At 41.7% G+C, this 25,553-nt stretch overlaps 1 long non-coding RNA gene and 2 pseudogenes across 2 annotated transcripts in view; 1 reads left to right on the top strand and 2 right to left on the bottom strand.

Annotated features, from left to right (window-relative positions):
- PARP4P2 (poly(ADP-ribose) polymerase family member 4 pseudogene 2) overlaps positions 1 to 13,948 on the bottom strand; it is a 59,018-nt pseudogene extending 45,070 nt beyond the window's left edge.
- Positions 16,330 to 18,030, bottom strand: LINC00421 (long intergenic non-protein coding RNA 421). The gene is made up of 2 exons (NR_034026.1): positions 17,862 to 18,030; positions 16,330 to 17,214 (listed from the first exon to the last, which is right to left on the bottom strand). It is a non-coding gene; the product is annotated as a long intergenic non-protein coding RNA 421 (long non-coding RNA).
- Positions 18,031 to 18,105: 75 nt separating this feature from the next.
- Positions 18,106 to 25,553, top strand: part of ANKRD26P3 (ankyrin repeat domain 26 pseudogene 3) — an 82,174-nt pseudogene continuing 74,726 nt past the window's right edge. The window contains exons 1-2 of the transcript NR_027248.3: positions 18,106 to 18,504; positions 23,550 to 23,622. The product of NR_027248.3 is annotated as an ankyrin repeat domain 26 pseudogene 3 (transcript). The remainder of the gene's footprint in view (positions 18,505 to 23,549; positions 23,623 to 25,553) is intronic.

Raw genomic sequence — 25,553 nt, 5'->3', positions numbered from 1 at the left:
GGCCTCTTACAACAAACAGTTCTCCAAGTGGTGAATGTAAAGAAACAATTCTTGAAGGAAATTAAAAGTGCTGCTCCAGTGAACATACGAATGATAAGAAAGCAAAACAGCCTTATTGCTGATATGAAGAAAATTTTAATAGTCTGGATAGAAGATCAAACCAGCCACAGCATTCTCTTAAGCCAAAGTCTAATCCAGAGCAAGGCCCCAACTCTGTTCAATTCTATGAAGGCTCAGAGAGGTGAGGAAACTGCAGAAGGAAGGGTTGAAGCTGGCAGAGGTTGGGTGAGGTTTAAGGAAAGAAGCCATCTCCATAACATAACAATGGAAGGTGAACCAGCCAGTGCTGATGTAGAAGCTGCAGCAAATTATCCAGAAGATCTAGCTAAGATCATTGATGCAGGTGGCTTCACTAAACAACAGACTTTCCATGTAGACATAACAGCCTTCTATTGGAAGAAAATGCCATCTAGGACTTCCACAGCTGGAGAGGAGTCAATGGCTAGCTTCAAAGTTCCAGACGACAGGCTGACTCTTGTCAGGGGGTAATGCAGCTGGTGACTATAAGCTGAAGCCAGTACTCACTTACCATTCCAAAAATCCTAGAGCCCTAAAGAATTGTGCTAAATCTACTCTTTCTGTGCTCTATAAATGGAACAACAAAACCTGGATGACAGCACATCTGTTTACAGAATGGTTTACTGAATTTTACGCCCAGTGTAGAGATCTATTGCTAAACAAAAAAGGTTCCTTTCAAAATATGACTGCTCACTGGCAAAGCGCCTAGCCATCCAGGAGCTCTGATGGAGAGGTACAAGGAGTTTGTTGTTTTCACGCCTGCTAACACAACTTCCATTCTGCAGCCATGGATCAAGGAGTAATTTCAGCTTTCAAGTCTTATTATTTAAGAAATGCATTTTGGGCTGGGTGCGGTGGCTCATGCCTGTCATCCCAGCACTTTGGAAGGCCAAGGAGGGCAGATCACCTGAGGTCAGGAGTTTGAGACCAGCCTGACCAATATGATGAAACCCCATCTCTACTAAAAGTACAAAAATTAGCCAGGCGTGGTGGCATGCACCTGTAATCTCAGCTACTCAGGAGGCTGAGACAGAAGAATCGCTTGAATCCAGGAGGCGGAGGTTGCAGTGAGCCATGATCACGCCATTGCACTCCAGCCTGGGCAACAAGAGCAAACTCCACCTCAAAAAAAAAAAAAAAGAAAGAAAGAAATATATTTTGGCCAGGTATGCCTGTAATCCCAGGAGTCTGAGGTGGGATGATCACTTGAGTCCAGCAGTTTGAGGTTCCAGGGAGCTATGGTTGCATCTTACTGTACTCTCACCTGGGCAATAATGGAGCAAGTCCCCAACTCTAAAAAAAAAAAAATACATTTTGTAAGGCTATAGCTGCCTTAGACAGTGATTCCTCTGATGGATCTGAACAAAGTAAATTGAAAACCTTCCAGAAAGGATTCGCTATTCTCCTTGCCCTTAAGACCATTTGATGAGTTATGGGAGCAAGTCAGCATATCAGTATTAAAAGGGGTTTGGAAGAAGTTTATTCTATCTTGGGTGACTTTGAGGGGTTCAAACTTCAGTGGAGGAAGTCACTGTAGATGTGGCAGAAGCAGCAGGAGAACTAGAATTAGAATTGGAGCCTGAAAATGGGACCGAATTGCTGCAATCTCATGATCAAACTTGAATGAATGAGGAGTTGCTTCTTATGAATGAGTGAAGAAAGTGGTTTCTTGAGATGGAATCCATTCCTGGTGAAGATGTTGTGAACATTGTTGAACTGACAACAAAGGATTTTGAATATTACATAAACTTAGTGGATAAAGCAGCAGCAGTGTTTGAGATAATTGACTCCAATTTTCAAGGAAGTTCTACTGCAGGTAAATGGTATCAAATAGCATCTCATACTACAGATAAATCTTTCATGAAAGGAAGAGTCAATTGCTGAGGTGAACTTCATTCTTGTCTTATTTTAAGAAATTGCCACGGCCACCTCGGCTTTCAGCAACCACCACCCTCATCAGTCAGCAGCCATCAACATTGAGGTCTTGACCTTCCACCAGCAAAAAGACAATGGCTCACTGAAGGCTCAGATGATTAGCATTTTTAGTAATATAGTATGTTAAAATTAAGGTATGTACATTTCTTAAAAAAAACAATGCTATTGCACACTTAATAGACTAGAGTGTAAACCTTTTATACTCATTGGGAAACCAAAAATGTGTGTGACTTACTTTATTGCAATATTTGCTTTATTGCAGTAGTGTGGAATCAAACCCTCAATATCTCCAAGGTATGCCTGTATATAGAATCATCTAGTAACTTTTGCTCCACTAAGGTCCTAAGGCTCATCCATTTGACATGTGTAGCCACAGTCCACTTGTTTAAACTTCAGGATGGGACTTCATGTAGGACTCCACCAAAATGTACGGATCCATTCCACTGTCCATGGACATCTGCATGATTTCCAGTGTTCTGTTATTACAGTGCTCTCTCTTTTTTTCTTTTTTCTTTTCTTTCTTTCTTTTTTTTTTTTAAAGATTGGGTCTCGCTTTGTCTCCCAAGCTGGATGTAGTGGTTCAGTCATACCTCACTGTGGCCTTGGACTGCTGGGCTCAAGCAATCCTCCTGCCTCAGCCTCCTGAGTAGCTTGGATTACAGATGTATGACACAATGCCTGGCTAATTTTAAAAAGTTTTTTTAGACATAGGGCCTTGCTGTGTTGCCCAGGCTAATCTCAAACTCCTGGACTTGAGAAATCTCTCTGCCTCAAACTCCTGAGTAGCTGGGACTACAGGTGCATACCACCACGCACAGCTAATTTTTGTATTTTTAGTAGAGATCGGGTTTCATCACATTGGCCAGGATGGTCTCGAACTCCTGGCCTCAAGTGATCTACCTGCCTTGGCCTCCCAAAGTGCTGGGATTACAGGCATGAGCCACTGCGCCTGGTCCCAGGTCATTTTCTTTGCTATTGGGTTTCTATTCAAGTCTTTTGCACATCTGCTTATAGAGTTGCTTATCTTTTCCTTATTGATTTGTAGGAACTCTTTAAATATCTTGGATCATTATACTTTGTCCTGGGCCTGAACTCAGTCTCTATCCTTTAATTAGCTCTGCAACCTCAGGCAAGTTCCCTGACCTCCCTGAGTCTGTTTCCTTGCATAAAATGATGTCGCAATACCAATTATGAGGTTGGCAGATGATGTACATGGGGTTCTTCTCACTGTGTTGCCCACTCTGGACTGCAGTGGCATAATCATAGCTCACTCCAGCCTTGAATTCCTGGACTCAAGTGATCCTCCTGCCTCAGCCTCCCTAGTAGCTGGAACTATGGGTTCTATTAGCGCCACCATGCACAGCTAATTTTTAAAATTTTTTATAGAGATGGGGTCTTGCTATGTTGCCTAGACTGGTCTTAAACTCCTGGGCTCAAGTGATCCTCCTGCCCTGGCATCCCAAAGAGCTGGGATTACAGGCATAAGCCACCATGTCTGGCCCAAGGGCAGATTTAAATATTATCAAGGATGTTGAAGATGAAATAGTATTCCAGGCATATTGAGGTCATATATAATAGATAAATCTGTGTTTTGGTTGAGAAACTCCCTCACCAAGGAAAGACAGAAGAAAACACATAGCAAGTACTCAGTAATGATTCTGTGATTAAGGATCGAACATACCTGAGCAAATCACTGAAATAAATCCCACTTCCAAGGTTTCCGACGTCTGTTCTTTGCACACCACGATCTTCCACTACTTTGGGTAAAAGCAACCCTCTGAAAAGAGAAGGGCAGGATAAGGTGTAAGCCCAACACTGACTGCATTTCTCCCTCGCTCAGAACTTTGGCAGGTTCCTACTGAACTTCTGGCATTCAGAGAACTCTGCAATCAGGGTGAAGCCATGGTTGTTTCTCGGAACACAAGTAAAGGGAGATTTCTGCCTTTTTTTTTTTTTTTTTGAGATGGAGTCTCGCTCTGTTGCTCAGGCTGGAGTGCAGTGGCACCATCTCAGCTCACTGCAAGCTCCGCCTCCCGGGTTCACGCCATTCTCCTGCCTCAGCCTCCCGAGTAGCTGGGACTATAGGCATGTGCCACCACACCCGTCTAATTTTTTGTATTTTTAGTAGAGACGCGGTTTCACCGTGTTAGTCAGGATGGTCTCGATCTCCTGGCCTCATGATCCACCTGCCTCAGCCTCCCAAAGTGCTGGGAATACAGGCATGAGCCACCGCTCCCGGCCCCTGCCTTTTATTCTATAAACACCTACTGTTTGAATTTCGTATTAGGAGATCTAATGAATTTTGTAAAATAGCTTTTGGGTTTTGGTCCTACTTAGAAAGCTCATCCCTACTTAAAGATTATTTTAAAAAGATTCTCCCATTTTTCATTTAGTATACTTTTATGGTTTGAATTTAAATATTTAAATATTTGCTCTATCTGGAGTTTAAGTATGAGAAATGAGGTAAGGGTCCAACTTTATATTTTTTCCTTGCGGTTACCCGTTTATCTCTATAGATAGTATTGAAGAACTTGTCTTTCTTCCACAAAGATCTGCTTGTATCATATCCTAAATCTTCTGTGTTTTTGAGTTAATTGCTGTTTAATATTAATGTCACCCTCATTACGCTTCTTTTCCAGAATTATTCTGGTAATTTCAAAATTAAAAAAAGTATGTGTTGTAGAATCAGCTTTTCACTTCTTTAAAAAAATCTTATTGGTAATTTTATCATGATTGCACTAAATCTATAGACTAATCCAGGAAAAACTGGCATCCTTCTGATTCATGCAAGTTGTCTTTTGGGTCCCTCAGTAGCAGTTTATTGGTTTTTTTTTTTTCCCCCAGGTGAATCTTGTATGTTTCTTTTTACTTTTCTTCTAAGTACTTAATTAATGGATCTACATTTAATAGTATTTTCTCCTGCTCCTGTGACTTCAGTTTCAGTCCTAATATTAAGTAGTAATTCAAAGCAAACAGAATCTTAGAGTTATGTTTCAAATAAACAACTCGTGTTGTCTGGTGTGCACTCTAATTTCTGGACTCTTCTCTTTAAATATTGGGCTATCCCTAGATTAGATACACATGGAAGACTCATGAATATAGAATCACTTTTCTTCATGTGATACAGTCTTCAAGAAGCAATTCATACCTATTTGCTAAATTTTAAAAATAATAGATACATAATTTTTCAAAATACAGATGAGGTCTTGCTAGGTTTTCCAGGCTGGTCTTGAACCCCTGGCCTCAGGTGATCCTTTTGCCTCAGCCTCCCAAAGTGCTAGGATTACAGGTGTGACCCACCCTGCCCAGCCATAAATATGTAATTTAAATTACACACTTAATTATAAACTGTGTAATTTTCTCCAGAATGCAGTAAGCTAGCTGATTTTAACTGAAAAGACCCATGTAATATAGAAAAAAGTAGGAAAAAAAAAGTAAAACACTTCACATTTGTGAGGCTGAAATTTTTGAAAAATAAAGATGGCTACTCTTACCGACACAAGATTCCCACGATGTTTCATACAGGAGAACCATGCAACAAGGGCCTCACATTGCCAGGTTTGCTCAAAAACTCTGTGGTTTCATTCACTCTGCCAACTCTAAATATCTGCAAGACATCCACTGGGCTCTTACTGTAAGAATTAGAAGAAAAGCCTTTAGATTACATAATTGGAAACAAAACAAAAAGTCATTATAGCAGAAGAAATCCCAAAAGAGTCCAAATGTCCATTATCAGGAAACTGATTCAATGAGTCATAGCACAGCCTATCTTGGAAGTATTATGCAGGTATTAAAAAAATCAAATTCTTTAAAAAAAATAAGGATATGTAGTAAAACATACAGTAAAATATAAAATTTAAAAGTAGATTACAAAACTTTATACATAGTATGATCCCAATTTTGTCAAATATATGATAATATATGGAATATATAGTTCTTGCTCTGGGCAACAGAGCAAGACCATGTCTCTGAAAAAAAAAAAAAAAAAAAAATGTAACTTCTGGCCGGTTGTGGTGGCTCAGGCCTGTAATCCCAGCACTTTGGAAGGCCAAGGCTGCTGGATCACTTGAGCCCAGAAGTTTGAGACCAGCCTGGGCAACATGGGGAAAACCCATCTCTACTAAAAATACAAATATTAGTTGGGCGTGGTGGTGCGCACCTATAGTTCCAGCTACTCAGAAGGCTGAGGCAGGAGAATCACTTGAACCTGGCGGGGGATGGGGGCGGTAAAGGTTGCAATGAGCCGAGATCGCGCCACTGCACTAGAGCCTGGGCGACAGAACAAGACTCTGTCTCAAAAGAAAGAAAGTTTGCCGGGCGCAGTGGCTCACGCCTGTAATCCCAGCACTTTGGGAGGCCGAGGCGGGCGGATCACGAGGTCAGGAGATTGAGACCATCCTGGCTAACACGGTGAAACGCCATCTCAACTAAAAATACAAAAAATTAGCTGGGCGTGGCAGCGGGCGCCTGTAGTCGCAGCTACTCAGGAGGCTGAGGCAGGAGAGTGGCATGAACCCGGGAGGCTGAGCTTGCAGTGAGCCGAGATCGTGTCACCACACTCCAATCTGGGCGACAGAGCAAGACTCCGTCTCAAGAAAAAAAAAATGTTATCGGCCGCGCGCGGTGGCTCACGCCTGTAATCCCAGCACTTTGGGAGGCCGAGGCGGGCGGATCATGAGGTCAGGAGATGAGACCATCCTGGCTAACACGGTGAAACCCCGTCTCTAGTAAAAATACAAAAATTAGTTGGGCGTGGTGCTGCACACCTGTAGTCCCAGCTACTCGGGAGGCTGAGGCAGGAGAATCACTTGAAGCCAGGAGGTGGAGGTTGCAGTCAGACAAGATCGTGCCACTGCACTCCAGCCTGGTGACAGAGCAAGACTCCATCTCAAAAAAAAAAAAAAAAAAAAAGTTATCAAATACCTTATTTTTAAGTGCTGTTTAGGAAACCAACCAGGTTTGGAGAAAGGGTTGTCAAGAAAGGCCTCTCTTGGGAGGTGACGTTTATTGGAATGTGGCACCATAAAATGTGTATTTTAAGACCTCACTGGTTGTGATGGGTTGGATGGGGCAGGAGTGGAGGAGAATCTGGAAGGACTTTGTAGATGGGATAACATGATCGGATTAAAGATGGCGGCAGAGTGAATGGAAGTAGCCAACAGACGAAGGACACTTTGAAGGCAGAATTGACAGAACGTGGGTATGTGGGGATGAGGGACAGAGAGACCCCACACTGGCTCTGAGTGGGTAGCTAAGATGGGGCAGTTGTTGGGGGAGACGGGGGTACGGCTGAGGGCAGCTGTGGTGGGAGGAAGGGCACATCTTCCCAACCCCATGTCCAGTGGCCTCAGGTCAGCACCTTGACATTAGCTGTGGTGGGAGTATTTGCTTCCCAGAACTCAGCAAATATTCCAGACCAGGACTTTTCCTTCACAGAGCTGGCTTACCAGCACACCCCCGGGGGAGCAGCATCGGGGTGATTCAGGCTGGGTTATGTTCTACACCCAAATGTTAACAGTGGTTATGTTATATCTGGGTTGTCCCTGGGTGGTGATATTTTGAGTGATTTTTAATTTTCTTCATATTTTTAGATATTTTCTAAGCTTTTAGCAAAGAACATGAGTTTTGTAACTAGAAAAAAGTAATATAAAGAAATCATGATTAGTGAAATGAAGGAAATCTAACTTTTCACAGCAGCAGGATCTTTCCCTAAGAAGAAGCCCACTTTAGCTGTGTGACTGCTTTTGTACTTAGGGGGTGGGGTGGCTCGCCAAGGGCTTGCTCAGGTAGCCCTGGAGGGCTGAACTGCAGCTGCCACTCCCGGGGCTTGACGTGGCTCTTCCTGTCTTCCTGGAGAAAGCTTATTGCCTTCCTGATTCTACCTTCCATGTCACCGGACTCTTAATTAGTATAGATCTCAACAGACACCTAGGGGAGGGTCAAAAGTCAAACCAAAAGAATTTGATTACATATAAAAACAAAATCTGGAGAAGGCCTGTGGAAACGAATGTTTTTGAGACAGAGTCTTGCTCTGTCTCCCAGGCTAGAGTGCAATGGCGTGATCCTGGCTCACTGCAACCTCCACCTCCCGGGTTCAAGTGATTCTTGTGCCTCAGCCCCCTGAGTAACTGGGACCACAAACGTGTATCACCATGCCCTGCTAATTTTTGCATTTTTAGTAGAGACAGGGTTTCACCATGTTGCCCAGGCTGGTCTCAAACTCCTGACCTCAAGTGATCTGCCCACCTTGGCCTCCCAAAGTGCTGGGATTACACGTGTGAGCCACCATGCCTGGCCCAGATTTTTTAAAAATTACAGTGAAATTACAAAAAGATAAAATTAACCATTAAGTGTACAATTAGGTAGTATTTAGTACAGAACATTCAAAATGTCATGTAATCACCACCTCTAGTTCCAAAATTTTTATTTGCCCAAAAGAAAACCCCATACCTTTTGGCTGTCAGTCCCCATCCCTCCCTCTAATGGCACCACACAATTTGCTGTCTCTGTGGATTTATCTATTCTAGATATTTCATATAAACAGAATCATACAATATGTGGCTTCTTTCACTCAGCATAATATTTTTGAGGTTCATTCAAAAAAAAATATTTTTGAGTATGTGTCAGTACTTCATTCCTTTTTCATGGCTGAATAATATTCTATTACATATATTTATCACATTTTGTTTATCCATTTCCCTGTTGATGAACATTTGAGTTATTTCCACCTTTTGACTGTTGTGAATAGTGTTGCTATGAATATTCATGTACAAGTACCTATTTGAGTACTTGCTTTCAAGTCCTTTGAGTATAGAACTAGGAGTGGAATTGCTGGGTCTTATCTTAATCATATGTTTAATTTGTTGAGGAATCATCAGAGGCTGCATCATTTTTCCCTCCCATCAGCAATGTATGAGGCTTTCAGTCTCTCTATATCCTCACCAACACTTATAATTTTCCATTAAAAAGAAATCATAGCCCTGGGAAGCCACACTACTCGGGATACCCATAAACCACCCTCCCAGATAGGGGGGCTGCAGGACACCTCTGAAACTTGGAAAAAAGAAGTGCCTGTTGAAGTCACTCCATTTAAGAAGGTAGAGTTTAACGTAATTTTGGAAGATTCCCATCAAAATGGTTTTATTAAGCAGAAGGGCAGGCTGGAAAATCCTCTTCAGCAGAACGGTGGACTGAGGCTCACTGCTATCAAGGTGGACAGGCTTCTCTGCTCAGCAAACCAGGCTCACCCAGGGGGTGCTCTACACAGACTCGGGCTTGCTAAGGGAGGAAGGCACCCTGAGGGATGTCCTGGCCTACACGATGCTACGGTTTTCTTTCTCAATGAAGAAAACAACGACACATTCTATCATCTCTACACAGACTCGGGCTCGCTAAGGGAGGAAGGCACCCTGAGGGATGTCCTGGCCTACACGATGCTACGGTTTTCTTTCTCAATGAAGAAAACAACGACACATTCTATCATCTCTACACAGACTCGGGCTCGCTAAGGGAGGAAGGCACCCTGAGGGATGTCCTGGCCTACACGATGCTACGGTTTTCTTTCTCAATGAAGAAAACAACGACACATTCTATCATCTCTACACAGACTCGGGCTCGCTAAGGGAGGAAGGCACCCTGAGGGATGTCCTGGCCTACACGATGCTACGGTTTTCTTTCTCAATGAAGAAAACAATCACACATTCTATCATGTTTTTCACCTTCGTTTTTACTTACTTCTTACCCAAACAACTAAATCCTCCACAAAATCCAGTATGCATTTCAGGGTACAAGGGTAACAAAACCCTTTCTCCTTCTTGGACACATTTGACCATGGATTAGCTTTCTAGCTCTGTTCCCATGGAAATCTGATAAAGATGGCATGTCAGCTGTAATAGTAGGCAAAATTGCTTATGTAATTGTGGCCTCTCATTGATAAATTGCATTGAGACAGGGGGTTCAATGGTGGGAAACCCAAGCTTTGGGCTTGTCAGAGAGCAGTGACTCATATAATTGGGTATGTCCCTTGAGGGCATCTGGAACCTAAGACAATGTTACAAGAGCTATGGGCTCTTGTGGGGTAGGGCTTCCAAGCCAAGTGGATCTCACATCCACCTGACGTGAGTCTCTTTCTCTTGTACCTGAGCTGACACTCAGAGTGGGAACAAAGGGAAAAGCTCCTGGAGCCTGTGTGGGCCTCTGTGAGGGCCACTCCCACAGAGAAGTGACTGTTTCCTGGCCCGAGATAGATCTGTAGGCAGCACACAGTGGCTCATGCCCGTAATCCCAGCACTTTTGGAGGCCAAGGCAGGCAGATCATGAGGTCAGGAGTTCGAGACCAGCCTGGCCAACACGGTGAAACCCTGTCTCTACTAAAAACAAAAAAATTAGCCAGGCTTGGTGATGCTTGCCTGTAATCCCAGCTACTCGGGAGGCTGAGGCATGAGAATTGCTTGAACCTGGGAGGCAGAGATTGCAGTGAGCCGAGATCGCACCACTGCACTCCAGCATGGGCAACAGAGCGAGACTCTGTCTTGAGGAAAAAAAAAAAAAAAACCTGTAACTCTGAATGTCTACTTGAGAAGGCATCCTGGTGAATGTTACAGAATTTTATTTGAACTTCAGGCATTAATTCTAAATTTATTTTTGTTTCATGATTATTTTAGATTGGAACTGTGCTCTTAAACTGATACTGACCTAAGGCAAAGGTCATGGCCTCTGCAAAGCCTCCCTTATTGTTCCCAGGGCTCTGTGACCTTGAGCCCTCAATATCTCATATATATATATTCAGGATTGGAAGTATCACAGTGGATTGTAATGATGAGTGTTATTTCTTTCTAGACAGTGATCTCTGAGGCCAGGGTGTGAAGCTATTTTCATCTTTGAGTGTCAGCCCTAGTCGATTGCTTGGTATATAGCAGGTGCTTAATGAAGTGTATCAGTGGAATGCTTTCAGAGGTGTAAATATTAGGAAAATATCCCATAAGTGATGTGGAACAAGAACAAAAATGCTATACACCCTGCACCCATTAAACATTCCCTCCTAGTGGGACCCTGTGCTGATCTACTCAGGGGGTGAGGTCCCCACCTCCCATACTCCAAAAGAGAACACATTTCCCCTTTGCAAAATTATTTACCAGGTGTTAGGGCTGAACTGTACCCCTACAAAATGCATATCCTGAAGTCCTAACTCCCAGGACCTCAACAATGGGACTGTGTTTGGAGATAGAGCCCTTAAAGAGGTAATTAATTAATTAAGTGAGATCATAGGGGTGGGCCCTGATCCAATATGACTGCTATCCTCATGTGAAGAGATGAGGACACAGACACCCACAGGTAGAAGATCATGTGAGGACACAGCAAGAAGGCAGCCGTCTGTAAGCCAAAGAGAGAGGCCTCACCTCAGAAGAAATCAACCCTGCTGCGCTTTGACCTTGGCTTCCAGCCTTTAGCACTGTGAGAAATAAATGTCTGTTGTTTAAGCTCCCCAGCCTGTTGCATTTATTAACAGCAGCCTGAGCTAAGACACCAGGTAAGAAGAAAAAGGTTGGGAGGCTGGCTGGTTCATTGAAACGAGTTATGAACAGAGGTGAATAAACACATAGGACTCAATATAAACAGCATTACCTGCATGCCATCATCCAGGAGGAAGTGTGAGGATATCAGGAAAGGACAGTCCCTGGAGTCCTGCGAACACTGCAGTTCCACAACCACAGCTTCCTGGCCTCCCTCCATTCCCACCTGGAAAATAGGATGTGCTTTCAGAAGCTGCACTTGGGAAACATCAAACTACATGTGCCATTTGAAAATGTTCATTATAATTATAAAATAATATATGTTCATTTAGAGATATAATTTAGAAAATACAGAAAAGTATCAAGAAGAAAATTAAAATCACCTAAAATCCTATGACAGCAATACAATCACTATTAATATTTTGGTACATTTCCCTCCTGTATTTTTACCATCCCATAAATAGATCTGTATATGTTTATGCCGTACCATTTTTCATGTTTTCTTTATCAATGAGGGAAATGTTATTTTCAAATTATGTTTTATTAACATACCTAAAAATACAAATGGAACATCACTTTGAAGGCTAGTGTCGATTTATATCTCTCTATATATTTTAGAGACAGAGGTCTTGCCATATTGCCCAGGGTGGCCTCAAACGGGTGGTCTCAAACTCCTGGGCTCGAGAGATCCACCTGCCTCAGCCCCCTAAGTAGCTGGAACTATAGGCGAGTGATGCCACACCAGACACTAGTGTTGATTTTCATTTGCATGACTTTGTGAAAAAGAAAAAAAAAAGGGATTTTGTTTTTCTTTCTAATGCAAAAGGAATGGAAATGCAACATAGCGTAAATACTTAGTGTCAAACCTTCCCTTCCCAAATACAAGAAAATGTTAATAACAGGGAAGAGGACTTTTATTTTTAATGCCATATTGATATTTTATACTATTTAAAATTTTTGCTATGAGCATGCATTTCTTTTATAATATAAATACTAAAAATTTAAACATTAAATTCTAAACATAAACATTTTCTTGGCTGTTAAAAATCAGGTCCGGGCACAGTGGCTCACGCCTGTAATCCTAGCACTTTGGGAGGCTAAGGAGGGAGGATGGCTTGAGCCCAGGAGTTCGAGACCAGCAACATAGTGAGACTTTGTCTCCACAAAAATAAATAAATAAATAAAATCAACTCATATTTTAAGGAATATATGATATTCAGGATATGCATAATTTTTCAAAACAATGAGAAAATATCAAATAGGAAAAACACTCAGAAGACAGTCAAACAGGTGTGTTTTTTTTTTTGCTAACTAGAAATCAGATTCTTACTTTCTCCAAGGTGTTATATTTTGCAACTTCAAAATCTTGAGGAAGATGAGGAATTTCAACATTCTGTGTACCAAACCTGAAATTTGTACAGCATATAATTAAAATTTTAACATTAAATGAATTTTAGGCTAAACAGAATTTCATAAATTTTTTCTTGTACATCTTTACAAAATACATGATAGATTCCTTACAAAACACATGGTAAGTCCACATGGTAAGTCCCTAAGGCCTCCTTAGCTGTTCCAGAAATTGTTAAAAGATCATTTGAAATGAGCTGGATGCCTCCTCTGCATAATCTCTAGCTCAGATACCCAGGACTGTAGCATCTGCACTGGAAGATGGTCTCCACACGGCAGAGGCAGAAAGAAGTGGGCCGCACACTCTGGGGATGGGCTACTTGTGTTTGCTTTGGATCTGACTCTTAGAAGCTATGTCACTCCTCTCAGACCACAGTCCATTCCTCTCTAAAATAAAGGAGTCAGACTTCTCATAATTTGTACTTTTCATTTTGGATTTTCTTCTCTTTAAACACTATTATTAACAAATATAACAAGATTGAATGTGATGCCTAATGAACCTGATGTTTTGGATATGCTTTAAGAAGCCATACAGAACTTTAGACTCCCATACTCCATTTGAGGAAGGCTGTTGTTATTTCCATTTTTGAAAATATCAGGCAAAAGTAACAAACTGTCTTTACTCTAAGGGCTGCTCAGTAAAGTAATGGGATGAAAATAGATGTTTTTTTTTTTTTTAAAAAAAAACCCACTGGTTTTTCTTTTCAAAAATCAATTAATCTAATAATTACACCCAATCTCATTTAATACTGAGAATTTAAAATAATGATCACTATGCTAGTTGAAGTAAAAAGACTCAAATAAAAAAATCACTAAAGAGTTAGATATGCAAAATAAATTAAAATATGAAAAAGTCTACAGATAGAATTTTAATACTGTGCTTGAGGTTTACACAAGATTTTGCAAACTCTATAGAGTCCTAGGGATCAGAAAGAAGTAAATTACTCAGTGAGTTCCAGTGTCTTCCTCCTCTGTGGCATTGCCCGGGCATAGACCTTCCGTTTTCACTTCTAGAATTAAAGCAAACAACGCACTTGTTTACTGCCCAAAGGCTTATTATAATTAGTTAACCTAAGTGCTGGAATTGTTAAGACTCATAAATATATCCTTAAATTAGTTATAATTTTGGTGATCTAAGGATAATCCAGTGGGAAAAAAGGAAGGTATAATATTATAAGAGGAAGGTATAACATTTTAAGAGGAAGATATAACATTATAAGATAGTGAGAACATACTCTAATTCTATTTTAATAGGCATATCAGGAGAATTCTCATCTGTTATTATTTGAAACTCACTGATGGCCATACAATTTTCAATTGGCACTTTCTTCTTGAAGAGTACAAAGTGCACAGGATCAGAATGAGTTTCTGAGAGTCGGCACATCACGAGCGAAGGAGCTGGAGATGTTCTAGCTTAGAGGCGGGAAAGTCAAGGGCTCTGCATGAGCTTTTGCCTCATACTTTTTGTACAGAGAAACAGTATCACTATCTATAGCATTGTGATATATAGGAATAACTCTTAATGTGAGGACTTCTTTCCAGTTTTAATTATACTGTCACAATAATTTATACTGTCTTCTTAGATGCTTTTCATACAATTGAATTGGGCCTTTTGTAAAAAGAATTCTTCTGAGTTTTCTTGTAATGTAGAACATGTAAAATACATGGCCTCTTTTCACCTGAAAAGCAGTATGGTATGGAAGGGCATAGGGACAAAAACACACAAACAAAAACCTTCACCGATATCATCGGAACCACAGCAAAAACAAATACAAAGCACTTACCGTATGCAGGAAACCTGCTGGGCCCTGGGGTACCTGCTTCGGCTAATTTCCATGACAACCTAAAAGACCAGGACACAGATGAGGAGACTGAAGGTCAAAGAGGTGAGGGCCTGTGGCAGGTGGCAGAACTAGGGCTGAACAAGGTTTGCTTGCTCCAAAGCCCAGGTTGTGGGGTGGAGAGCAAGGGCCACGGAAGGCCTGTGCCCTCCTCAGAGAAGAGTCCCGCTGCTACCTGCCCTCTGCAGCCCACCTGGGTTGGCATCGTAGAAGCAGCCTCTCCCCAGCCGCAGCAAGGCCAGCAGGGCCAGCACGGGGCCATCTGAGTCCTCAGGAGAGGGCTACCAGCAGGGACTTGTGGGCCTCATCCAGGTGGCCACCAGGGTGTTGGCCACCAGAAGGTGCGATACGTCCTCCACATCCAACTCATTGGCAGTGTGGCCAGCTGGTGCATGCCGTGGGGCTTCCCTGTGGGGAGAGTTGCTCAGGATGGGCTGGCCCCTTCCCCACAACCCCTCAACTACCCAGATGATTGGGCCAAGGTAAATCCTGTCCCTATGCACCTGGCCTGGGTAGCTTCCTTCCCACAGGACTGCAGAGACCTGTGTCCCTTTGGAGGGACCCCCACGCCATGCCATCCCCAGAACCCACAGCTGCACTTCCCGGTGTGCAGCCATCGACCCTACATTCCCCTCAATCTCTCCATTGCCCTGTCAGGGAGGCACTTTACAGATGACAGAATTGAGGTTACACAGATGCTCAACAGCAGGGCTGACCCTGGGCAGATCCTGCATCAGTTTCCTTTTCCACAAAAATTTGGATTAGCAATATGGCCTTGCTGGTCTCTGGACCCATGGGTGTGTCTGTAGGCAGAACAAGGTAACACAGGGGCTACAAGTGGCATGTGTCTGTGTCCACGTGGGAATGTTGGGAATGCTCATGAATTCTCACTGGGAAAAGGAGACAGAGCCTCAATTTTAACAATTTCCAGATACAAATATAATGGCCTCAAATCACATAAAAGAAAGAAGAAAGTTCTTCCTCACTAGCAAACCAAAGCCATACAAATTAAGCACCTGGGAGGCAGAATAAGAGTGTGTGTGTGTGTGTGTGTGTGTGTGTGTGTGCGCGCACTTGGTGGGGAGGGGGCTGACATTAATGATGCCCCCAAATCCCCAGTCTCAGTGGTTTTAATGTTGCTAAAACTCCTTCCTGTCACCTTCCAGCAGTCAGAGGAGTACTCATCAGAACAGCTGAGGGTTCACCCGTTAGGTTGGCAAACAATTTGCAGTGAGCATCAGAGCTGGGTGGAGGATGAGAGGTGACCAGATGGTTAGGGGGACAGCTCCTGAAGTCAAGGATCCTACAGGTGGCAGTGCTCTCTGATCCAGGAGCGCTATATCTGTCTCCATCTTAAGGAGAAAACATCGTGGAGACAGGATGTCACTCCTGATGTGTTACAACTAAGAGCAAAAATCTAGGACTCTCCGAAGGAATAACAGCACGTGCATAGGATGGGCCATGGGGCTGCCAGGAAATATAATTAGCAACAAAGGGGATTTTCATGATCTATTGAGTATAAAAGGTAGGATATAAATGGCATCCACAGCACAAACTCAATTTTCTGAGATATATTTTATATGCACACGCAAAAAAACCAGAAGGAAATGTGAGCAGTGGGAGAATGGGTAAGTTTCATTGTTCCCTTTCCATTTCTGAGTTTCTAATTTTCTGTGGAGAGAAAGCCCATGATACATCATGGTATTTGAGAGGGAGGATCCTAAAATCTAAGCCCTGGAGCTAAATCTGCCATCGTTGCTGGGGGAAATCACTCCAGCACTCTGCCTCAGTTTGCTCATCCATAAAATAGAAACACATCCTTCCCTACCTCAAAGGAGAACAGAATCTAACAGCAGCCCACATGCATGCCCTCCGGCTGGTTTATGCTCTTCCTGCGCAGTAGGGCTGTCTATGTCCACAGCCTTATGCCCTATGCCCTCTAAAACCCTGAGTCAGGTCTGAGCTGGAGCATTCTGCAGCCCTCCTCCTGCAGCAGCCCTGCTGGTTTCCAGGCACATAGGCCTTGGCGGCCAGCAGTTCCCCCTCCGGCCACAGCCTGCATGCGGTGACACAGTCCAGTGTGCCCAGAATGCACTGCCGGCCAGCACCCGCAGCAGCCCGCAGCTGCGCAATTACACACAGCTGTCTGGGTGTGGCGCCCCCTGCTCCACCACCTCTTGGAAGTCTTCCTGGATGCACCATGAATTTCCTGCTGGCCAGCAATGTCCTCGGCCTTTGGGTGACCCAAGATGAAGTCCTGGAGGGTGCTGACCACACAAGGAGGTAGGGGCATGGCAGCTGAATGCAGCCAGGTTGAAGGCGATGGGAGGCTGGGAGTGCTCAGGCCGAGATGCTGGTCTCTTGGCAGAGGCAGGCCGCGAGTTCCTTGGCTGACATCATGCCCATGGCCCTGATAGGCCCATGTCCAGTCTTCATGACACCTGGGGGATGGAGAGTGTGGTCAATGCACAGGGGTCAGCCAGTCCATGCCCCCGTGGCCACCCATGCCCAGCCTCAAGCCACCTCCTGCTCTCTCCCAGTGAGACCCCAGGGTCAGTGTAGACCCCATTGCATGAAAACTGGGGGATCCAGCCGTTAAGGGGCGTTTGTAGTGCTCCCTCAGTAGTTGGTCTCCATGGGCTGGGATTGGGGTCTACCAGGCCCACTCCCAGCCCACTGTTTACCTCGTGGGCCTCAGCTTCCTCCTCTGCAGAAGGGGACGGTGACCCTGCCCAGCTTAGTTCCCTCTAAGAACACCTGACCCCTGAGTGCCCACATGGGCAGGGTCTGAGTGGCCTGAGGGGTCAGAGCCCAGCGATAGGACCCCTGCCCTCATCCCTTACCCCTCCCAGCACTGGGCCACGCAGGAAGGCAGAACTCCCCAACCCCAACCCCTGTCAATCCCGGGAGCCTTCTCAGCTGGACCCAGGGCCACCCCTCTGCCCACCGGCTCACACCTGGGCCATGCAAGGCAGGGTGGATGCACCTGCCTGGCCCTTGAGCGTGTGGGGGAGCCACTGTTTCCCACTTCGGAGGCTCAGTTCTGAGGTCGGGATTCCGGGCACTCCCTTCTCCCCCATTCCCAAACCTCTGACTGGAAGAACTCTCTCGGCACAGCCTTTTCTTTCGGGGTCCCAAAGTGCCTGTGAGCAGGCAGCTCCCGATCTCCTCTCTGTGACACCCACAGACTCAAAAACACCCATATGCTCACTCATGCAGACAGGCGCTCTCGCCTACGGCTCTGAGGCTGAGCACACGGAGCTCCCTCGGGGCCAAATTTGTGTCACGCGCAGGGACACCGGAGGCGCGTGCACAGTCCGTGTAACGGCTTTGCTTGGCGCGTCTCCGTTTCTCTTCTGAGGGGCTGAGAGTCGCGGAGTTTCCTGGTTGGAGGCTGTGGCGGACGCGATTTGCTTCCTCATATAGGGTTCCGGAGGCGGCGGAAAGTCCAGCGGGTCTCCGAAGCCGGTAGACGGAGCCATGAAGAAGACCTCGGGCTTCAGGAGGGGGAAGGGCGAGCTGCCCTGGGGCTCGGTCAGCAGCCCCGGGAAGGTGGGCGCGGGCGCCGGGAGTGAGAGTGAGGACCACGCCTCCTCCCAGCCCAGGCGCCACGACCCGGACAAGGGGTTCGACAGGCTCCGCAGAGCTGCCGGCCGACACCGGACAGAGACGATGCGGCGGATCCTTTCTCTGCCGAAGAGTGGCGTGGATGACAGAGACGAGAAGAACAGGTAATAGGAACTGGAGCCCGGCAGAGGAGGGAGGAGGGCGGGTCGGGGAGAGGCCCCCTTTCCTGCTCTCGGCTCACCCCTGTCCCCGAGGGCGCTGGGCTTTGTTCCCTCTGCAGCCCGCAGCAGCCGGTGTGGCAACCTCAAGGTCATCAATATGAGCAGCGCGACAAACAAAACTTTAGCTGGTCCGATCCTCTCATAATTCCCGTTACTTTACTGAAAGTTTTAGTGCTTTAAAAAAAATTAAGAAACATAGCTTTTTATTTTTATTGTACACATTTTAAACAATGTTATATATGTTATGGAAACAAGCATCATGAGAAAAATAATTTCTATATTATATTAACTTCTGGGCTAAAAATTCTTTGGATAAAATCTAATATCCCTTTTATATCCACCTACACCTGAGTAATAAGTTATTTCATGAATGACCTCAGAAGGATCTTTTGAAGTGAGAGGATGGTTCCCTGTTCTTGAATAGGAAGACTCATTTTTCTTTCTTTTTTTCTTCTTTTTTTTTTTAAATTATACTTTAAGTTCTGGATTACATGCGCAGGACGTGCAGTTTTGTTACATAGGTATACACGTGCCGTGGTGGTTTGCTGCACCCCTCAACCCGTCACCTACATTAGGTATTTCTCCTAATGTTATCCCTCCCCTGGCCCCCCACCCCCTCCCCCCGACAGGCCCTGGTGTGTGATGTTCCCCTCCCTGTGTCCATGTGTTCTCATTGTTCAACTCCCACTTACGAGTGAGAACATGTGGTGTTTGGTTTTCTGATCTTGTGATAGTTTGCTGAGAATGATGGTTTCCAGCTTCATCCATGTCCCTGCAAAGGACATGAACTCATCCTTTTTTATGGCTGCATAGTATTCCGTGGTGTATATGTGCCACATTTTCTTAATCCAGTCTATCATTATGGACATTTGGGTTGGTTCCAAGTCTTTGTAATTGTGAATAATGCCGCAGTCAACATACGTGTGCATGTGGGAAGACTCATTTTTCTCGAGATGTGAACTCTATTCATTTTAGATAAACCAAATAAAAGCATCAAGGTTTTAAGATTTCTAGGTTACGTATGCTACCTTTTACTCTTATGATGACATTAAGAAAATTTTTATAACAGAGTAAAGACTTGCCCTTCTATATATCAAAGTGTGATATTAGGTTTCATTTACTAAAAGATGAGAAGACAGATAAATGTGTGGAACAGAATAAAAAATGCACACATACTGAAAAATGTGTAAGATTTTAGAACCTGATCCTGATGACATTTCATATGTGTATGGAAAGATGAGTTATTTGTAAATGACATGTCTGTGAACTCGAGAAAACTAGCTAGATTTTTATGTTACAAAAATAAGTTATTGATAGAATATGCGTAAAAACTTAAATATACAAAATTAGAAAATGCCAGAAGAAAACACGAATGCCTATTTATACAGATACATTTTTATGTTGACAAAGACCTTCCTATGAATGCATTCTGCAGGTTGATTTAGAAAACAAAAATTAAAACTCCCCTTACATCAGAAAAAAGTTAACAAAATAAAAGACAACATACTTGCAAAATATTCACATTATATACATAAATATAGACATTTATTATTTGCAATGAAAAATGTGTCTTCCTTTTACAGAGAATTTTTTTTAAAGAAATAAGAACTATAATTTAAAATTGGTCAAAGTACTTTTTCCAAATCTACTAGTGATCTGGAAAATCAGTAGTACTTACACCACTGCTTAAAGTTTAAGTTGCTGTTAACTTTTTAAATAAACAATTTGGTGGTGAACATCACTCTTAAAAAGGTATGTATCCTTTACCCATTGATTCCATTATACTAAAATATTTTCAGAAAATAATTAGAGATGCATACAATTCGTTTTTCTCAGCACTGTTTCCAATAGCAATGTATTAAGGAGAGGGCAAATAAAGGATTTTATAAATAAATTTCAGTGCATCCATAGGATGAAATTATATGTAACTTCTGAAGGTGGCAATAGATATGGATGTATGTTGACATGGGAAGATGTACTTTGGTATATTAAGTGAGAAAAAATCGATTTGATTATACATACACACAGAGGGAATGGTCTTGTGGTAGCTGAAAGTATACACAAAATGTGATAAAATTTTGTTATTTTGGGACATTTGTATTAGGGGTGATTTATTTTCCTTTTTCTTATTGTGATATCCACAATGAGCATGTATAACAGGTTTAGTAAAAGTCTATTATTACTGAAATAATCCTAGGTAAGAACAGGAATATGAATCTTGAACAGATAAAAATAAGTTTTTGCTTTCTATTAATTTTTTTTGTGGATTGGTATCTTCTGCCAAGGTTTAGCCTCTTCAGAAATAGAGGGAATCTTTTAATCTGTGCTGGTAGATTGTATTGTGTATATTTTTTATGCATGTCTTTTATTATGGATAGATTTATTACATACATGCAAACAATTATAATTTAATCATTTTATTTTAGTGGTGTCCTTATGAAAATAAAAAATAGCAAATATAAATCATTTCTATTGCACAAGTGTTACTTATCTTTACGAGTTTTCTTTAAAAATATTGAACTCCTCAAATACATTTATGTATTCTTTTAATCCATTTATTCATTAAATGTAACCTGAATGCCCACTATGTATTCTACTGTCTCTCAGGACCCTTCCAAGCTTAAAAACTTTATGTTTACCTGCCCAGTCTGAACAAGTTGAGAGATTTAAAATTGGACTATTAGGACTTAATCTAAATTGAAGCTTTTCCTCCCTCCTTTCAAACAAAAGCATTTCTGAAGGTAGAAAGTTGTGAAAGATAACCTTTTAACTACCCTTTTGAAAATTTATAGCAGTGTTTTTCTTTTCTTTTCTTAACTTCAACTTTTATTTGAGATACAGAGGGCACATATGCAGATATCTTACATGGGAACATTGAGTGATGGTGAAGTTTGGAGGACAGATGGTGTCACTCACGCCGTGAGCATAGTACCTGATAGTAGTAATTTAACCCACTCCCTTATAACAGTCTTAAATACTAATATTAATCATTGATAATATCTGATTTACGTATATCATATAAATCTAAATATTGAATAAAATGAGCCATGCTTATTCATTTGAATGTTGATGTTTCTTTGGCTTAAAGTTTTCTGAAATCCAAGTAAGAATAGTTTTTTGGTAAAAATGTGTCCTTGTTATCTCAGCCCTTTTTTTTGCTGTTCTTTTCTGCGTTATCTTTCTATTTTTTATTTCCATGGGTACATAGCAAGTGTACATGAGGTATTTTGGGTACATGAGGTATTTTGATACAGGTATGTGGTGCATAATTATCATATCAGGGTAAATGGGTCTATCTGTCCCTTCAAGCAGTTATCATTCTTTGTGTTACAAACATTCCAAATATACTTTTTGGTTATTTTAACATGTACAATAAATTATTGTTGACTATAGTTTCCCTGTTGTGCCTTCCAGAGCTAAATCTTATTAATTCTATCTAAATATATTTTTGTACCAGTTAACCATCCCCACTTCCACCCTCCCCCAATCTCACTACCTTTCCCAGCCCCTGGTAAGTATTGTTCTACTGTCTATCTCCCTTAGTTCGGTTGATTCAATTTGTAGCTTCCACAAATGAGTGAGAACATGCAAACTTTGTTCTTCTGTGGCTGGCTTATTTCACTTAATATAATGTCCTTCATTTCCATCCATGTTGTTGTAAATGTCAAGACCTCATTTTTTATGCCTGAATAGTACTCCATTGTGTCTATGTAACACTTTTTCTTTACCCTTTCTTCTACGGATGGACAGTTAGTTTTTTTCCCAAATCTTGGCTATTGTGAATAATGCTTCGGTAAATATGAATGTGCTCATAGTTCTTGAATATACTGATTGCCTTTCTTTGGGATTTATACCTAGCAGTGGGATTGCTAGATCCTATGGTAATTCTATTCTTAGCTTTTTTTAGGAACTTCAAAGCTATTCTCCAAGATGGTTGTACTAATTCACTTGGGTGGTGGGGAACGTGTCTGTACTGGGGACAGATGACTGAGACTACACGTAGTTTGTTTACCGGAAGGAGGGAAATAGCTCCTACTCTTGGTCATTTGAACCCATTTTTTGGAATGGGTGCTTTCATACATGAAAGACTTCAATGTTGGAGACTGTCATTGAGTCCTAGAGTGATCTGTAAGTAGGAGCCCATAGGAAGGAAGATATTGAGATAACAGTTGGGAAAAACAGAGATACAGCTTTCAGGACTCTATTTTTCCAGCAGTCTCTCTCCTTGGGTATCAGAGCACCTATGAAGATTCTCAAGGGCTTGCTAGTTGATGTGGACCTGAACTAGGCGGGACCTACGCAGGGAACATAATTAAAGTTTATCATTTTTAAAGTTTTAATTTTTCTGCAAAGCATATTTCCAATAATGACATAGACACTTGTTCCTTTAACTTTTGTACGTTCAGGTGTCAAGAATTTCAGACATTTCAGGGAACTGCCTACACTGTTTTAGGGTAAAGGGCAGCAATAGGGCCTACTTAAGTGGTTTCCATGCTGAAGAACCAAGACTGCCATTTTTGAGTGGCACAGATTAGCCTTTGAACCAGATACAGGTAATGGAGAAGACACAGTGTCTCTTTCTACCTTGTTTTAAGTGATCCACTGGTTCCAATTCAGGTAACAAAGGTTATGTCACTCATTAATTGGATATTGAATTCAGCCTTCAGGACAGACACTTCTGAAGACAAATTATTCTCAGGCTCTGCCAATATATTGCCAGTCACTATTTGTTAAGGAACTAAAGGTGAGTCTTTATCGAACATTTCATAGATTGGGAAAGGTGGAGGCAGAAATAGGTAACTAAAATCTTTTTGAAAAAGAGGCCAATTTTAATTAATTAAGAAATATTATTTATTCTATAGGTAGCTGACCTTTCCCCAGATTTTGTTTTTGTTTTTTTTTTGTGGGATGATACCTAGACACAAAACAATCCATTTTTTTTTAGATAAATGAACTCATTCATTTTTGTTGTATGTTTTTCTCTATAGGCTGTCCTGTGGACAGAGTTCTGGTGACTCATGGCTTTCAGTAGATGACGAACCCTTTGATTCTGATACCAAGGTAAAGTGCTCTTTTGTGAAATAAATTTTCTTGCTCTGAATCTAGTTTTGCATAGTATTTACTCTTCAACTGTGGCAGCGGTCTATCTATAATTGTTTTATGGTCTTGGGGAATAGTTGGTCAGAAAAAAACATATTATAGTAATATGACTATTTGAACGTCTTTTACATTTTTTCTTTGGAAAATGGGAAAGGGTGGTAAATACTTTGAGGAATTGGGGCTGAAAAATGGCATGAACTGGAAAATACATAGTGATAGGAAAACTGCATGGAAAAGCTTTCCCACAGTAGAGGAAACTTGAAATTTGCTCCGGGTTTATTTGGTAAGTATTCTTACTGGAACTTTTCAGTCATACTATAGTGATCTTTATAATCCTTGTGCCTGAATACCTTTTAATGGGTTCAATTACTCATTATAGTAACCATAGAATGTCCCCGGTGTCTTTCAGTTCCAAAACTGTAAAGCACATATCATATGGTTTCCTTTTACTTTCTTGGATGCTTATTGTGGGATGACACAGTTTTTAGTAGGAAACTTTTTCTCTCTTTCCGTCCTTGGTTCTGTAATTAGACTCCAATAACATTGTGGACATGTAGCTGGGCATGCTGGCACGTGCCTGTAGTCCCAGCTCCTTGGAAGGCTGAGGCAGTAGGATCACTTGAGTCCAGGAGTTCCAGACCAGCCTGGGCAACATAAGAAGACCTCACCTCTAGTTTTTCTTTTAATGTGGAAATTCAGAAATTTAAAATTTCTGTCTCAAAATCTGTATTACAAAGAGATTCCCATGTATTTCCTAAGCCATTCTATGAAGCGTATATTTAAAGCTCTTCATCTAATTGAAGCATACATGTTTTTCCTCCAATAACAACCAGCTCCAGAAGCAGAGACTTTTAACAACCATGTGGTAAGACTTTAATTTCAAACACTTTTTGCGCTGTAGTTGTAAAAAATATTCACAGAGCATCTTTGTATCACAGTTTAAAGTTTCAAATTTCAGAAGTTTTTGTATTTCATTCTTTAAATAATCATTTTAAAGGTCCTGCACTACTGTGAACTACTGAATATTACAAAACGTATTCTTGTGTATCCTAAAGTACCTAAAGTCTTGCATGTAAGAAGTGTTTTAATCATGTTTGAACATGAAGAAATGAACGGACAAGTAAATTTCTATATAACAGAATGTTATAGGTAATATAATATGCAGAAGATATCTAATAATAACATCTAGTGCATTTCCAAAATATGGCTTAAATTAATGTTTAGGTTATAAGTTCACATGAGTTATGCAAATATGTTATAAATAAGAAGGAAATAAATTAGAACTATGTCATCAGTAGGAAAGCAGATTACAGTATTTTTCTAATATCCTCTAACTGTAAGCTCAGATTTGGATTTTAGATGAAAATTTTTTTAACTTTCTTTTAGCCCCAACCTATGCTCTTTTAAATATATCTTTTCAGGTTGTACATTACTCTTTATAATTTTGATTTCCTATTCTTTCTCCTGGTGGAATATTGATGCAACATTTCTTTTCTCTTTTATCTCTCTGTAGTAATAATGTTCCAGCTTTCACATAGTGGTAGATGACCATGTTTACCCGAATGAATGTCTTATTTTGTAGGAAGAAAATTGAAGTCTTTATTACAGAAATACTTACAAAAAATTGTAAATTCTAATAAGTATTTTTAGGGCTATCCTATGAATTAAAGTCTCCATATATATCTGTACTTCTCCATGTACCTTACTGTAATTCACATTATAAGAATGACACTCATAAATATTACCTCTTAAGTATGTCTAATGAACAAATTTGGGGAGAAATGTTAAATCCTTTTGTAAACTGTAAAGTGTGTATACAAGTGTAGGACAAAATGATCACAGTGGGATTCAGTGATTTAGTAAATATTGAGGATTCTTTTTGTAAACCTGAA

Source organism: Homo sapiens, chromosome 13 (assembly GCF_000001405.40).
Source record: "Homo sapiens chromosome 13, GRCh38.p14 Primary Assembly".
Lineage (NCBI taxonomy): Eukaryota > Metazoa > Chordata > Mammalia > Primates > Hominidae > Homo > Homo sapiens.
This window is presented reverse-complemented; position numbering and strand designations above follow the sequence as displayed.